The 15,797-nt window shown below is 48.8% G+C and overlaps 1 long non-coding RNA gene across 1 annotated transcript in view, besides 2 other annotated features; it reads right to left on the bottom strand.

Annotated features, from left to right (window-relative positions):
* The window catches only part of LOC105372981 (uncharacterized), a 56,572-nt gene that overhangs the window by 22,937 nt on the left and 17,838 nt on the right, over window positions 1-15,797 (bottom strand). The gene's annotated exons all lie outside the window — the stretch shown is intronic.
* Window positions 13,706-14,206: an enhancer, noted in NCBI's record as "H3K4me1 hESC enhancer chr22:27937522-27938022 (GRCh37/hg19 assembly coordinates)". NCBI's record gives its function as "activates a minimal SCP1, AML or CMV promoter by ChIP-STARR-seq in naive H9 embryonic stem cells {active_cell/tissue: H9 hESC(naive)}" and the evidence as "EXISTENCE:reporter gene assay evidence [ECO:0000049][PMID:30033119]".
* Window positions 14,207-14,707: an enhancer, noted in NCBI's record as "H3K4me1 hESC enhancer chr22:27938023-27938523 (GRCh37/hg19 assembly coordinates)". NCBI's record gives its function as "activates a minimal SCP1, AML or CMV promoter by ChIP-STARR-seq in naive H9 embryonic stem cells {active_cell/tissue: H9 hESC(naive)}" and the evidence as "EXISTENCE:reporter gene assay evidence [ECO:0000049][PMID:30033119]".

Below are 15,797 nucleotides of genomic sequence, written 5' to 3' on the forward strand. Positions count from 1 at the left end.
TGTGGTGTCCATGAGGACAGCTCTGCATGGCCAGACTGAGCCAAGCCAGAATGCATATCCAGGTCCCCCCAACTCAAAAGCCAGTGCTTGTTCTACTTCTAAACTCCACCGTGGCCTCGAACTTCACCCTGCCAATCCAGCAGTGATTGTGCTGGAAAATAGCATTTTCCAAAAAGCATCCTCTGTTACCTTAAAGAGAAAACAGATATGTACATGTTTAGGGGGATACCCAGTGACTGGTAAAGTTCAGACCAAGCCCTGCCCAGAAGTTGCCAGGAAGTGCCTCCACCTCTCCTGCATCCAGGGAAGCTTCCCCAAGGCTCAGATGGAAGGCTGCCTCTTTCCAAAAGTCATCTGTGATTGGATCCCTTTTTCTCTGGCATTCCTTCAATTATCAGACGATGCTTGCTGATACCTATACGTGTGGGTCTCTGTCCTAGGCCCTGAGAGTTGGGCACATACAGAAGGTGGGCCCCATCTTCAAGGGAGACTTGTCATTAGAAGGAAATAAAAACATTACACATCAACAGCAGGTCTCATCTATGCAAAAAATTAGACCTAGAACAAAAGACTGGAAGGAAGTACTTCCACATGAGGGGTACTCAGCCCCGGATGGTGGAACTGAAGAGGGCTTTCTTTGCGGATAAAAAGGAGTAGCTTGCCCTAGGGCTGCTATATCTGGCACGGGGACTTCTGAACTGGGGGGTTTAAGTTTTAGGAGGCAATAATGTTCAGATTTAGATTTTTTTTAGATATAGCTTTTGTATTTTTTTCCAATTTCCTATAAGGATCCTATCACAGTTGCATATTTAAGGACTACGAAATGAACGTATTTTAAGGCATGAACTGTGACTAAATGATGGGGCAGGGATAGGAGCCTATGTGTGCCTGACTCCCAAACTTGTGTATCACCTCGTTGCTCCATGCCTCAGTTTCCCCATCTGTTGATAAGGCAGTGGGATCTGCCACCCTTTGAGGTCCTGCTACCCTGACATTCAGAGTGTATTTGACACCATAAGCTGCCAAGCAGGGAAAACTGGGGTGGTTTCTGGCCATCAGAGGAACCCAATCAACTCCATCACATATGCTAACTGTACACCTATGATGTACCAAACCTGGGGACACCATGAATAACAAGCCCACATGCCACTCACAGCTTCGGAGGGAAACAGCAAACAAATGATCCCAAATGATCACTTATATGAGTCCAAGTGTGCAACCTGCTGCAGAGGAGAAGGCAGAGCGTTCTGGGATCAAAAGCGTGAGACTTAATACAGAGGTCAGGGGAGGCTTCCACATGGAAGAGGCACTTCGGGTAAACGAGAGCCAGCCAGGGGAAGGAAGGAGAGAAACGCACACAAGGACCCTGAGTCAGGCGATTGCAGCTCTGGGAAGGATGTCTAGAACAGCTGAAGCAGAGAAAACCAGAGAGACCAAGCTAGAGGATGAGGCCTCAGAGACCAGAGGGGCCGGTTCACATGGGCCCTTGCAAGTCACTGGCAGGATTCTGCACTTTTCTCAAGGGCACTGGGAAGCCATGGATGGCTCAACCTAGAAGGAGCCTGATAAGCTCATAGAAGACCAGAGTCCTCTGCCCCGAGCAGCAATTCCTGTGGGGCCTTTTGTGGCCACACTTGACTAGGTACTGGGGATGGGTTCATTCATAAATTAGGTTTAGCCTGAGTGCCAGGAGGAGGGGCCTCACAGGCAAGACGTTTGTTCAGGGTCAGGTACCTAGAACATTCCCTGGCTGCCACCAGAAGGCTCTGTCTTTACCAAAAAGTCATCCCAGGAGAGCTCACAGCCAGGTTTTATCACTGCTCTCAACCCCAAGGCCACATTTTTTCATCTCAGAGCCTCACACCTTGAAGGCCGGCAGGCTCAGTATAAAACATCCCAGCACGGAGCCAGTGCACAGTAGGTGTTTCATGACAAAAGCCACCATTCTTTGAGTAGTTACCATGTTCTCATGGTTCTGAGAATTTCTATTCATAAACATAGTTAACCATCATATTACTCCATGAGGTAGGAACCAGTATCCTCTTTGTTCTGGAGATGTCTGTCAGACTGATGCTTGGAGACGTTTCTTTTCAGGGCCAAGGCCTCAAAGAGGTCTCACAGCAGGTCTCCATCACAACCACCTGTCTTCTTAACTCCTTCTCTGCCCCACTTCCTCTTTACACATAGTAGGGCATCCTCCGACTCCTTCCAGAGGCCATTTGCACGTATTTTCTTGTGGGTAGCAGAATGAGGGTCACAGCCAACAGCAGGGTTAAAGTCCCTGCACATGGGCTGTGGTAAGGGTTGAGACAGCACTGGTAAAGCACTGGCTTAGTAGTTGGTATTCCATACCCACTTGATAAATGATGGAGGGTCCATGATGACTGGACCCTCACATCACCATTGAGCCAGGGATAGCTCTGTGGTATTCATTCCACTGGTCAAATAGGTCAAGGGAGGCCCAGAGAGCTAATGTCAAGCCAAAAGTCTCACAGCAAGATCAGAGTTGGGACTGTCCCAACCCCACACACAGGATCCACGCATTGCTCCATAGAAGTTTCCTGAGGGCAGGACCACATCTATCTTGCTTACTATCAATAGTACTAGTTGAGATGGGGGCAGTGGTTCATACCTGTAATCTCAGCTACTCCAGAGGCTGAAGCAGGAGGATCACTTGAGCCCAGGAGGTCAAGGCTCTAGCAAGCTGTGATTGCACCACTGGACTCCAGCCTGGGCCACAGAGCAAGACCCTATCTCTACAAAAAATGAAAGAAAAATAAAAAATAATACTAGCTGAATGAATAAGTGAGCCATTGCAGCAGACAGACTCTTCTCCTAATGTTTATGCCCTTATGTAGCCAGTCCCTTTTCCTGGCATGTGGGAAGAGCCTGTGACCTGCTTCTAATCCACAAAATAGAGCAAATTGACAAGATGTGTGTGATTACATACTTAAGATTATAGCACCCATCTTCCTGGAATCTCTTGCTTCCTGACAGCTTTGAAAGCAGCAAGCTGCCAAGGTGTAGGCTGCCTATGTTGGGAGGCCCATGTGGCAAGGAAATGTGGGGGTTTCTAGGAGCTGAAGGTGGCCTCTGACCAACAGGCAGGAAAAAGCTGAAGTCTTCAGTCCTACACCCACAAGGACCTAACTCCTGTCAATCATCTGCATGATCATGGAAGCAGATCTCTCTCCAGTTGAGCCTCAGATGAGAACACAGCCACAGCTGACACCTTGGCTGCAGTCTTGTGAGACCCTAAGCAGAAGACCCACCCACACCATGCTCAGACTCCTGATCCACAGAAACTACGAGATCATAAATGTAAATTGTTTTAAGCCACAAAATTAGTAGATGTTACACAGCAGTAGATAACTAACACAGCCAGAGACAGCCATAGCCATAGTTCCCAATTTGACTCATTCACAAACCAGTTCCTCTTCCATAGTTTCAGTCAAGGGAGATTTTACCAAGACAAAATGGCCGAGCATGGTGGCTTACACCTATAATCCCAACACTTTGGGAGGCCAGACAAGAAGGATCATTTGAGGCCAGGAGTTCAAGACCAGCCTGAGCAACATAGCAGGACCCCATTTCTATTTAAAAAAAAAAATTAAAAATTAGCCAGGCATGGTGGCGGCACCTGTAGTCCCAGCTACTTAGGAGGCTGGGGCAGGAAGATCACTTGAGCTCAGGAGTTCAAGATTGCAGTGAGTTACGATGGCACCACTACACTCCAGCCTAGGTGACAGAACAAGACCCTGTCTCAAAAAAAAAAAAAAAAAAAAAAAAAAAAAAAAAGAGAGAGAGAGAGAGAAGAAAGAAAACCATTTGGAGCCATTTGGAGCTGGGAGTGGAGGGAAAAGGGGAATTCTTAAAACCGTCCCTGGGAGCTCAGACGTGGTTGAACATGAAAATACACTCTTCTTACAAGTGGCTTGGAAATGGGACCTAATGTAATTATCTTAAACAAATTCACAAGAGGAGAACATTCCTGCTTGAGGTCATCTCAACTAACCAAGGCAGCCTTGCTCTGCTCAGCCTGACACAGTGCTTAGCCTGGGAACCTGATTTGGACTGAGAAAAAGACCTCTCTGGCTGTCACTGTTCCATGTGGATTCTCTGAATGTCAGAATGTTCCAGGCATCAACTCCTTAAGTCTATGAGTCATGAAATTCCAGACCTCTGCAGGCACTGGAACGTAGACTGTGATAACCACCACATTTGTCCTAATCACCAATTTGTTTCTAGATAATCTAGTTTGGGTGGTAGAGACATGGATGAACACAGCTGGGAGTGTGTTGATGAATGTTGAGGCAGTTGATAGGTACCTGGGGGTTCTTTATACTACTGTTCTTTTTGCTTTCACACGTTTGAGGTTTTCCATAGTGAAAAATTAAATCAGTGGAAAGGCAGTGCAGTCCAGTGGTTATGTGCATGGACTCTGGGTCCCGCAGATCTGGGGGTGTGTCCTGGCTCATCCAAACTACATCATCCCAGGCTGAGTCTCCACAGTAGTAACCTCAGTGAGATTTTTTGTTTTGTTTTGTTTTGGTTTTGAGATGGAGTCTCGCTTTGTCACCCAGGCTGGAGTGCACTGGCGCGATCTCAGCTCACTGAAAGCTCCGCCTCCCAGGTTCACACCATTCTCCTGCCCCAGCCTCTCGAGTAGCTGGGACTACAGGCACCCGCCACCATGCCCAGCTAATTTTTTTGTATTTTTAGTAGAGATGGGGTTTCACTGTGTTAGCCTAGCCAGGATGGTCTCGATCTCCTGACCTCGTGATCCGCCCACCTCAGCCTCCCAAAATGCTGGGATTACAGGTGTGAGCCACTGCGCCCAGCCAAGATCTTAGCTCCATTTTACAGATGAGGCCACTGAGGCTCAGGGAGTGGCTGTGACTTGCCCGGAGTCTCACAGCTGGAAAGGCTCGAGCCAGGATTTGAACCAAGTCCTTTTGCCTCCAAAATCTTCTAACTGGTACACTCAGGACTGGCTGTATAATTTGTGGGACCCACAAAAAAAAATGAAATGCGGGGCCCCTTGTTAAAAAACAATGATGATTGCTTCTCGGAATAGGGGATTTGAAAAAATAATAATAATGATGAATTTCAAGTTGATGGCAGCAGAGCATTAAACCAAGCACAGGGCCCCCCGTGAAGCTGGCCCTGGCTACATTGTAGTGATGTTAGCTGCCATTATTCTTATTACAATTGCATATTCATAGTCCCCTGGAGTCTTCAAATCAAAGAACAATAGAACAGAATTCTGGTGTCTCAAGGATCTTGACGATCCCAGAATTACAGAACAGTGTCCACTCCCACAAATTCTTGCTAAGTCAGAACCCAGAACATGAGAAAGAATAAAAAATACTTTGGCAAATACAGAGTGCTGGAACCGGAAGAGGTCATCAAATCAGCCCATTTCACAGATGTGGAAATCAAGTCCCAGAAAGCAGTAGCGGCTTTCCTAGTATTCAGGACCCCAAGACCCCAGGGTTCCTCATCACCCCTGAGAGCAACTCTCTGGATCTTCCCATTCAGCTGACGGGCCTCCCCCATTCCTTCAGTTTCCAGTCCCTGGAGTGGGATTCTCCCTCCATTGTCCTCCTTTTGGGCCAACCTTCTCCCACACCATCGCCTCTCTTAGCTCAATGTCCCAGAAGAGTATTACCAGCAGCTGCTTAGCTCAAATTATAGCTTCTTTAGACAGAAAGAAAACATGGGATAAGAGATCCAGGCAAACATCGCCACTCTAAAGAGGCTCTCCTCAGCCTGTTATGAGTGAGGAGTTTGTTTTTTGTTAATATTTTTTCTGCATGGCGTGCTGCAAATAAGAACATTCAGAGAGCAAATTGGTGGCGTATTTATTGCTGTTGGTTCTTCAGCAGCACTAAGCCAGTAATAACGGAGAAGCTGCTTGAAGTGTGAGCTCAATTCCACCTGGTTAAAGCGATCAGGGCTCCGCTCCGGGGCTGTGTTTTGTCAAGTAGACACAGAGCACAACCCCAGAATGCCCAAACTAATAGCATAATCGGATTGAGACTTCCGCATGCTCCCCACATCCCTGCGGGTTCCCTGGGGCAGCAGGCTGGGCTCCGAGCTCCAGGTGCCCACCCGGTGCCCAGCCCAGACCTAGAGAAGACTGGTGCCTCTCCCTACCCAGCCAAGCCATGCTCTTAGCATTGTAACTTGCCCCTGGGTGCCTGAGAGGGATGGCAGTGTGAGACCTAAGTCATGCACCCAGGAGGTTGGGGGTGTCCCCTCAAGTAGAGGGTTTCACAGAGAAGATACCAAGAGGGTTGTCTTAAAGTCCAGCACTGGCAGTTCCTGGTTGAATGACCTTGAGCAAGTTACTTAACCTCTCCATCCGTACCTCTACTTCTCTGTAAGTAAAATGGGTATAATAATAAATACCTACATCGTAGAGTCACTATGAGGATTAAACTGAGTTAATACATGAGAAGGGAATCCTTTAGAACAGTGCCTGGCCCTTGGTAAAAATTACACAAGCACTGGGTTTTATTTATTTAAAATCTGTCGCCTAGGCTGGAGCAGAGCAGCTCAAACATAGTTCACTGCAGCCTCAAACTCCTGCGCTCAAGTGATCCTCCCTCCCCAGCTTCCATAGTAGCTGGGACTATAGGCATGCACCACCATACCCAGCTAATTTTTTTAAACTTTGTGTAGAGATAAAATTTTAATTTTGTGTAGAGGGGCATCTCACCATGTTGTCCAGGCTGGTCTCAAGGCAGAATCCTGGTGGCTCAAAAATCTTGATGATCCCAGAATTACAGAACTCTTGGGCTCAAGGGATAGCCCCACCTCTGTCCCCAAAAGCTCTGGGATTACAGGTATGAGCCACCATGCCTAGCCTTGGGTTTTTACGGGAAAGATAACAAGGTCTGGAGTCTGCAACCTGGACTTTGCACACTGTGTGAACCTGAGTGGGTCACTTCAGCTCTGGCTTCTTTTTCTGAACAGACACGAGGTGATAACTCATGCCTATGTCACCAGGGCCTGTGAGGGTTAACCAGCGTAAGGAGTGTTGATGGGTTTTGTAAACAGTGCTGTACGGATACTGGTTTTGTGGCCCGGTCGGGGCCTCTTGGGAAACAGTGTAGTATGCTGCTGGTGAGAGTGTGAATTATGACAACCACTTGGAAAAGAATTTGGCAATGTAGCCTCATGTGGAAGATGCACATACCCTCTGACTCAGCAATTTCACCCCTAAGAAGACGCCCAAAAAGAATTCTGGCTGATGTGCTCAAGATATACACATGGATGCTCATAGCAGTGTGTTCAAGGGAGTTTTGGGCGAGAAAACACCTTAGTGCCATGGCCAGGAGATCGCATGAATCAACTGTGGCACAGCTAAGCGAAGGACTCCCACACAGCCCTAAAAATGAATTAACCACATCACTATGGAACGATACCAGGGAATCTTTTCCTGGTGGAATAGCTCTGTATCTTGACTGTTGGGATGGTTATTCAAACCTACACACATTTTCAAGAACTGTACACCTGGGGTCGGGGGAAGAAATAAAAGATGCATGTAAAAAAAAAAAAAAAAAAAAAAAAACAAAAAACTGATGACATCTGAATATGGTCCACCCCTGAGTTAATAGTATTGTCCAGTGGTTAGGTGCATGGGCTCTGGGTCCCACAGATCCAGGGGTGTGTTTTGTCTCATCCAAGCTAAATCATCCCAAGCTGAGTCTCCACAGTAGTAACCTCAATGAGATTGTACTATTGTGTCAATTTCCTGTTTTGATCATTTTTACTATGGCCTTGAAAGGTATTATCATTGGGGGAAGCTGGGTGAAGGGTTCACAGGTTCTCTCTGTATTATTTTTTCAACTTTGTGTGAGTCTTTAATGATTTCAAAAAAAAGAATTAAAACTGATTAATTAATTAATTAATTACGGTGCATGCGACAACATAAAGGAATCTCAAAACAGAATGAGGAAAGATAAAGAAGAAAATACACAGTGGGATTCCATTTATACTGAGTTCAAAAACAGGCAAACCCTACACTATAGTATCTAGGAATCTTATACACGTAATAAGTCACTAACAAAGAGCCAACCCTGAACCCGGAAGAGGGGTTAGCCTTGGCAATAGAGACAGGTAGGTAGCAAGTGTGGTGGAGTCCACAGGGCTTAGCCGCATGGGTAGCATTGCATTTCTCAAGCTCGGTGGTGGAGAGGCTATTGTTTGTTTGGTTTTGCTTTGTCCCTTATGCCTACCTTATGTATTTCATTTTATTTGTATAAAATATCTCCATAAAAATAAGTTTTAAAAAGGGTTTGGTCTTTGGAGTCAGAAAGTCCTGGGTCAAGTGCTGGCTTTGCTGCCTAGCAGCCAAGTGACCTTGGCCAAGTCACTTCTAGGCCTCAGGGTCCTCTGTGTGGAGCCTACTGGGAAGGAAGACGGCTGTCTTATTATAGGGCCTTCCTAGAAAAATGACCTCCCAGCACCTTCAGGTATCTGGGCCTCCCTTTTTCTACAGGGACTTGGGGTAAGGCCTGAATGGACAGCTTTGCCCAACTGTGCGGCCCTGTAGGGGCACTACCCACCCATGTCCCTGATGTTTTCTGCTGGGAAAGGGAATGTGAACTCTATTATTATTATTTTTTGACAGGGTCTTACTCTGTTGCCCAGGCTGCAGTGCAGTGGCACAATCATGGCTCACTGCAACCTTAAATTCCCAGCCGTCGTCCTCCCTCAGCCTCCCGAGTAGCTGGGACTACAGGCACACATCACCATGCCCAGCTAATTTTTTTGTTTTGTTTTGGGTTTTTTTTGTAGAGACAGGGTTTTGCCATGTGGCCCAAGCTGGTCTCGAAGTCCTGAGCTCAAGTGATCCTCCCACCTCAGCCTCCCAAAGTGCTGGGATTACAGGTGCATGTTTAACATTGCTCCAGGTGTGTGCTTGCCCTGTCTCAACAACCCCTTCCCCAGCTTATCTCTCCCACTGAGAAGGAGTCACCCCAAGTTGCTTAGATTTGGGGCAGTGACTGGGCCAGGTTTGCCAGTGGCAGGGCCTTCTCCTGCATGGAATGGCCAAGCTTCCCTGCTTCCTATCTTTCTCTGATTTACCCACATGGGTACAGATCTTGTTGCTTTTCTCTTCTGCAACACGCTAGAGCAAGGCAAGCTTCCTCATTTGACTTAGATGGATAGTCAGCCCCTTAGACCTCATGCCTAGACCCAGCTGGGCCAACCCTCATGAACAACCATGCAAAGTTCACCTTCCTATCCCACTCTTCCCATCCATATTACACTTGCAGACCTTTTCCCATTTATTGCTTTGAACAATTTAATTCTACTCCTCAGAGGGACAGACCTGGTTCTGTGTTTAAAGCTCAAACACCAAGGCAAGCTCGACCACTATTCACCTCTCTTCATTTGCTCTTATGAAACATCACTGCTGTCCAGAATAAACCTTAGTCTTTTTTTTCCCTTGCTCCCAGCTCCCTAGATATGTGTGAATATAAAATATAAATATATGTAAATATAATTCTTTGGCCGTTTGTGTTCAAGATTTAGAATTTCCTCCTAGAGGGAAAAGGCAGGAAGGGAATGGCTTGTAAGCACAGGCTGTGCTTCATTAAGAAGCGTGTTTGGGGTGGCGATCACTTTTCTCTAAGCTAGACAAGCCGGCTGGAAGCTGACCTCTGTACATCCTGAAATTTCATCAACTCCTTCTCTCCTCCAAAGAGCCTCTCCCAACCCCTCCTCCACCGTAACAGAGCCCCTTCCTTCCTGTCTCCCCAGGGACCTCCAGGGGTCACAGGGACTGCGTGAAATGCGCTCCTCCACTCCGATCCAAGGGGCTCTGGGCTTCCAGACGGCTTTAGATGCCTGGCAGTCGGCCCACCGGCACGTGATGGGGCCCCAGGTCACGAACAACGGGGCTGGAGGGCTACAGCTGAGCGTCTGGAGGGGACAGCCGCAGCCTGCCGCCTGAATTGATGGAAAGGAATCCTTGCCCTAATTTTCGCAACAGACACATGTTGTAACACTCTGTGTCTTTAACAAAACCCTTTCATAATAACAATAAACAGCAATGTCAATAATAACACTGATAATGATAATTGCCCTATTTGAGAGCTCACCATCTCCAAGAGGGCTGGAAATGGTGACAGCCACTGACTGGCTTGCTTCTTAGATGCTACCGTTTTATCAACACTAGAGCATCCAGTTCTCACATCTATCCTCCAAGGGAGGACTGATGATTCTCCCCATTTTACAGACAAGGAAACTGAGGCTTAAGGGAGGGTTGGCTCCTGTCAGGGGCACTTACATGGTAAGGGGTAGAGCCTGGAGTTGTAACTTAGGCCACATCTTTCTCTCCAGTCCCAACATTCAGCTCTGTAAGGAGACATCAGAATGATGCTTCTTCCTGGATTTAGTTCAATGAGAAGGCTCATCCTGAGCCAGAACCCTTGCTAGGTGACCCTGGGGCTCCCAAATGGCCTCAACTATAAAATTCCAAGATTCCCAACCAAGGCCTATCCCGACACAGCCTTATGAGAAGGCAGTTGCCTGCCAACCCCCCAGCATGTGGGCTATCCCAGCCTTTGTAATATCAGAAATATTGAAAATAGCTTACAGACACTCGCCCGCCACTGTCACCTTTGGAGCCAGCAGGGTACCCCCCAGTGCCTGACTTTCTGGGGACATCCAGGGCCACCATGCTGGTTTCAGTTCTGGGCAGGCCAGAGGGCAGTTCCGCAGGAGGTAGAACCTCCTGGTGTTCGGGACTTAACCTCTCTCGCCCAGAGTCAGCTAGTTGTGAGGGAGCAGGGGTGGGGGTGGAGGGCCCCTCAGCTGGCGGGACATCAAAACCCACACAAAACGCTTCCATGTGGTACCAGCCCTCGGCCCACGTCCTTCACGTCGGATTAATCCTCCAGCTTCTCGGACAGACGTGTCCTCACCACTCTGCTTTCATGTTTGCCCACAATTTGAATGTCATCACACAAAATCAAGGCTAATTGTGAACAGACCTCCCCCTCTCCCCGGGCTGCCTCCCCTCCCCCTTCCTCCTTCCCTGTCCACATCTGGATCCCACAACCTCTCTCGGGGACCTTGGAGACCTGCTTAGGCTGCGAACTCTGAGAATCTAACCTGATTTCCTTTTCCCGTCTCCCAGCCTCCTAAATATATATCGTGGAATGTTCTTTACTTTCCTTTGCCATTGACTTTGCTGTAGCCATTGCCCAGATGACCGTAGGAATTCTCCACCTTTCTGGGCTCTCTCCAAGTGGAGAGCAAAGCTCTGGGCAAAGTTGGCTGGGTGCCGTGGCTCATACCTGTAATCCCAGCACTTTGGGAGGCCAAAACAGGAAGATTACTTAAGCCCAGGAGTTCGAGACCAGCCTGGGTAACAAAGTGGAACTGTGTCTCTACAAAAAAATACGAAGATTAGCTGGGCATGGTGCCATACACCTATGGTCCCAGCTGCTTGGGAGGCTGAGGTGGGAGGATTTTTTGAGCCCAGGAGTTAGAGACTAGGCTGGGCAGCATAGTGAGACCCCATCTCAAAACACAAGGCAAAATAAAATAAAATAGCTCTGGCAAAGCCAGGGGAAACCTTCCCTCCACTCAGCCTGCCAGCCACATCCCGCTCTCCCAACACATACCCATTTCACATGTGCGGCAGCCCATCAGGCTATATCATATACTCACCTGCCTCTTGTGCCCAGACCAGGTTGTGACATGTCACTCACAGTACATGGGACATGGTCCAGCTTGATAAGGCTCCCTGAGCTGAGAAAAGGAATTTGGTACAGGAGAAACGGGAGTGTTTGTCATCCTCAGAGAACTCCAAAAAGAGAATCTTTGGTGTTTCCTGGGAGCCTGTTTGCTACAGGGAATCTCTGGGTGCTGAGAGTCCCTTGGGGGTGGAATGGGTGTTGGCAGGGACTTGGGGCTCCAGAGAAGGAAGGTCTCTGGGGACAGGAATTCTAGGAGAAGGAGTTTTCAAGCACTGGTGAATGTTTACTGTGTGGTCCAAGCACCCCAAACAGCAATTCCTCGGGTTGTGGTGACACCCATCCTCTCCACTTAAAAAGTCATATCATTTCAGAGTCCAAAAGAGGCTGATATGACTCAAGGGCCCACTGCCTACAGGAGAAAGCTGAGGCCTGGAGAGAAGAGAATGGCCAGCCCAAGGTTCAAGAGAAAGTCAATTCTTTGGCCCCAGGGGGGCCTTTGCCTAATGTTGCTTTCTGGAAAAGATGGCAATGAATACCACTTATAGCCTGCACTGGCTGCTGGGGAATCCTACAGAAGATGACCCCACCCTAGAGACATCCAAGAGGCGACCTAAGAATCTGAGTTTGGATCTGCGCTCTGCAAATACCACTTAACTGTGGAGCTGATAGTGCAGGGCTGTCACCACACCCAGGCAACACGTGCAGAAGAGCAGATCCAAAGGAAGGAATAAAGGTTCCGGAACCAGACCCCTGGTGGGCTCAATCCACTTCATCCACACACCACGCTGTGAGCAGCGACCTAACCTCTGCAGGATGGAGTTAGTTTCCACGACTCCCTCCCCAGCCACAGTACCAGCTCCTTCCTGCGGGTGTTTGCCGAGTGCCAGGGAGTAAACAGAGCGCCAGGGAGTAAACAAAGTGTTTAGCCCTCGTGTCATCCTAAACTATCATCATTCCCATTCCCAGGAGCAGAAACTGAGGCTCTGACATACATAAGGACACACAAGAAGTCAAGATTCAAAGCGATTAGAGGAATGACTAAATGACAACAAGAACTATTTAATAAACCAGTTACTATAATCAGCAAGGGGAGCGATGAATGAGTGAGTGAATGAATGAATGAATGAATGAAAATTTGCCCTTCTCCTGGGCTCTAGGACACATTTGGCAATTTCCTCTGCACTGATGGAGAAATACCCGCACTTCATTTCCAAGGACTGCAGAAGGGAATTTAAACGCACACGCTCCCCTATCGTTGGCATCTGCCAAGAACGAGGCTGAAGCTTGCTCGGACAAATGAAATTCTGACAAAGCATGTCACAGGCTTGAAGCATCTGTCACTGACTGGGAGAGACGCACATTTGAATCTGAGAGAAGTGCCGCTCGCCTGCAAATGACAATTGTGCAGTCCGGTCCGACTTTCCCTCTGACCTTCTGGCCAGCTCCAAAGGGCTCTCTCCTGTAAACATCCTCCAAATAGTTTATCTTAATAAAAGCGCCTGTAATGGAGACGGAGTTAATTTGAAATGGTTTCCTTGGCCGTTTGTCTTGTCAGCCAATTGCTGAGAGAGGGCTGAAGTCAATATTGCCTTAGCCGTGGTGGGGTCCTGCAGGCCTCGGACTCATCCTGGGATCACGCGACCGACGTGACAGCCGACACTGTTCCATGAAGCACGGAGGAGCCTCAGTGGGTGATGGCAGCCAGTGCTGGACTTGATCTCAGACAACTTTGCAGGCTAAGCTCCCACACACCATGCTCCTTGTCCCGCAGTTCAGAAAGCAGAAGATAGGCAACTAGATGACCACTTTACAGATATAGAAACTGAGGCACAGAAAGAAGAAATGGCAAATTTGCGGTCGCCTAGCAAATTACTGGGAAGACTAGAAATAGTGTTTCTTTTCCTGAACACACACGCAATCACTGGCTAATTGCTTGGTGCTGCAGATGCAAAGTTAAATAAATCACAATAGGAACCCCCAGGACTCCCTATCTCCAGTTAGTAAAAAGAATAGGGGCTTTGGAAACGGAAAGACCCGAATACAAATTCTGTATCAGCTGCTTCCTGGCTACATCACTCAGAGGACATCGCTTAACTTTTCTGAGTCCCAAAAAGAAAAGTGATACTATTTTCGCAGGAAGGCTTTGAGGGTCAGATGTCTTTGCACGGGGATAGAAAGGCCTCGCGCCGTGCCTGCCACAGAAGTGTCCTCTCACCAAGTGTGAATTCCCTCCTCCAGTGCCTAATCCAGCGCCTTTTCACCCAGTTCTCTCTGTCTTCCCATTCTGCTGAGGCCTGAGCCTCCCCCTGCCCGACCCTGGACCTTGCAGATGTGGCAAACGCGGAAAACATTAGGCTCGCTGGCGATTGTCTGCACGGCCGTGTTTATGTTTGCAATAAAAGCAAGCAGGTGCTGGCAATTTAGCTAATCAGGTACCATCCCGGCCCCAGACGCCTGCCCGACTGCCCGCCGTCACTGCTCAATGTGGCTTTCTCCAAGCCTGCAATTAGCCTGGTCCCCCAGCCCTGCACACGGCTCAGATTACCCCCACAGGATGCACAAATGGCCAAATGGATGGTCCCTCGGCAGTCCATGACCAAAGGCATGGGGTTGAAACCTCTTCAGGCCTGTGCCCTCTGCAACATCAAAACAGGCCTCTCTTGCCCTCTGTGGAACCATTTTTTGGGGTCAAGCCTGCTAGAGGAATGGGCTCTGTCTGGAGTTTCCTCAGGGGAAGATGAACAACGTATAGAAGTGGTACAGTCCTCAGACCCTCAGACTCACCCCAGCCTGGGTCAGGCTATGTCCGTCAAAGTCACTTGATCACCTTGGCCTGCAGAATCTAACAGAACAATCTCTAACCCTGAGCATTTAGCAGTGTCAGGTACACCACCCAGGGATGGACATTCATGAGCCCTGCTTGCCAGGCTCTGTGTGACCCCAGATACACCCCACTGACCGGTCTGAACCTCAGTTTCCTCATCTGTCAAACAGGTAGATTAGACCAGTTCAAGGTCTCTCAGCCTCAGCACTACTAATGCTTGAGCTTGGAGGGTTCCTGTTGGGGAGCCGTCCTGTCCATTGCAGGATGTCAAGCAGCATCCCTGGCCTCTACCCACTGCATCCCAGCAGCCGCCCCCTCCAGTTGTAACAACCAACAACATCTCTAGACATTGCCAAACCTCCTCTGGGTGCAGAGACAACATCACCCCCAGTAGAGACACTGGAGTAGAGCCAGCCCCAGCTGCACAGCAGATCCCCTTGGGAGGACTTGGAGAGGTGAATGGTGCTCTGCTCCATAGTTCAGATGCAACCGCTCTGGGTGGCAGCCCAGGCATTCATGCTGTCGGTTTCAAAAGTTCCCCAGGGATTCGAATGACCTGATAAGGTTGAGACCCACGGGGGGCTCAAAGATCTGTGAGGACCACCACCCCCACTTTTTGTGGGCAGAGATGTCCTTACAGAAGTTCAGCACAACCTTTCCCAGCCCAGGTCCAACCCATTTCCCCAGCTGCACCACAGGCCTCCAGGGACCCCCACCTGGAGGGTCTTGTGTGGTGCTTTTATTTTTCTTAGCAGACATTATTTAACCAATTCTGAGTTGAACAGAATCCAATAAAATGCAGTCCCTACAACATTTTATGGCTAATTGGTTTGACTGGTACATTGTAAATGTGTAAAGGGACTCTAGTGAGGGAAGCGGGAACCTGGTTAACCTTTCCGTGGGGCTTAGCTCATTGGGGTGTCTCTCTTAGGCCTGTCCAGCCTAGGGAGCACCTCCTCTTGCCCACTGAGGGGACTCCAGCCCTCAGAGCTTCCAGCTCTTCTCCCAGGTAAGGTGTCCCAGGACCAAGGCCTCCTGGCAGCCCTGAGCACTGATCTCATCCTGCTGAGACAAGGTCCCCTGGGGAATCCTGGCCCGGCCCTCCCTTCCTTCTTCCTCCCTCCTCCCTGTTTCTCTGCTCCCTCCTCCCTGTCTCCCTCTTCCCTATATCTCTCTTTCCCGCTCCCCACCTCTCCTCCTTCCTCCCTTCCTCTTTCTTCCCTGCCTCCTCCCCTCCCTGCCTCTTCTTC

The sequence above is a fragment of the Homo sapiens genome, chromosome 22 (genome assembly GCF_000001405.40).
Source record: "Homo sapiens chromosome 22, GRCh38.p14 Primary Assembly".
In the NCBI taxonomy this organism is placed as follows: domain Eukaryota; kingdom Metazoa; phylum Chordata; class Mammalia; order Primates; family Hominidae; genus Homo; species Homo sapiens.